General features: G+C 36.4%; 1 annotated feature.

Moving 5' to 3' along the window:
• Positions 401-470: a silencer, noted in NCBI's record as "silent region_11684". NCBI's record gives its function as "represses an Ori minimal core promoter by ATAC-STARR-seq in GM12878 lymphoblastoid cells {active_cell/tissue: GM12878}" and the evidence as "EXISTENCE:reporter gene assay evidence [ECO:0000049][PMID:35858748]".

Genomic DNA, 1,287 nt, shown 5'->3' with positions numbered 1-1,287 from the left:
GCGCACATGTGTGCATGCATGTACAGGTCTAGGTTACACTGTATTTCTAAAATTATCTCTAATAAGCTTAGAACGTTTGTACATTTTAATAGGAAAATAATGAAATAAATGAGTAATCCCCATCAGAGGAAAAAATATACTTTAATACATACGTTTCCTTTACTCTCTACTTCTCACTCCTCCCTCCAACCCCAACACACCTTTGTGTTTTCATTAATATAACCTGGAATCAAGTGTAGTTTTGTAGTCATGAAATGTTCAGTATTTCAGATTTTACTCTTTCATTTCTTCTCCCCAAGATGGTTGCTGAATAAAAGACGGAAATTCCAAAGTTCTCATGGCAGAGAGGAGGATGGTAGAAAGAGGAACTCACCAATGCACTTAGCGTCCTGTTTCCTACCTGGGTCTCTGCTGCCAAGATCAGGGGCTGACACTCCCTCTACTGGTAACCAGAGAGAGACAACTGGCCCCGTCTGCTAATGAGGTCTTGAAGTCTGTAGCTCCAAACATTTGCCTCCAGTCTCAAAGAGAAGGGAAATCTATCAGAGAATGTCTGAAGGCAATGATGGGAAAAAATACCTATTCCTGATTATTCCTCCCCTGACTTTAGCCTATACAATAAAATGGTAATATGCTGAGAGTCAAAACAAATGTATGTTTTGTTAATCTTGTAGACAGTCAAAGTTTTATGGCTGATTTCATTATTGAGTCATGATTGTTAAACACAATCACCATAAATTTACAGATTTTTGAGAGACCGATTTCTGTAGAAAATATTTTATTCATGGCTTTTTCTCATTCCTGATTTATTAACTCTTTACATTTCCTTCTTCTGTGCCTTTTCAAACTGATTAAGAAAATAGCTCTGATACAGTATAATATTTTTTAATAAAATAATATTAATTTATTCTTAGTCATATTGATTAAGTTGGCTTGAAACAAGCAACACAGTTGGACAGTTGTGGAGCAAGGCAAACCCTTCTTAGACACTTGTCCCCAAATCTGCTAAGTATGAGAACAACCGGATTTGTCTAAGACAAATAAGAAACAAACAAACAAACAAAAAACCTTGACATTCTGATTCACCAGGTCTGGATGGAATGTAGACTAAGAATCTGTAGTCTCAAAAATACCTCCAGATGTTTCTAATGTGCGGCCAGGTTTAACAACAACTACTCTAGAACTCTTCTGTTTTTTAACAATGACCTTGAGGTAGCAGGCCAAGAAAAGAAAAATAATGTTTTATTCACTGTGCTGATTCATTCTTGCTCACTCAGCTAAGACTTT

This window comes from Homo sapiens, chromosome 2 (genome assembly GCF_000001405.40).
Source record: "Homo sapiens chromosome 2, GRCh38.p14 Primary Assembly".
NCBI classification, from domain to species: Eukaryota; Metazoa; Chordata; class Mammalia; order Primates; family Hominidae; genus Homo; species Homo sapiens.
Note: the sequence above shows the minus strand (reverse complement) of the source record. Positions and strands in the feature narration are given on the sequence as shown.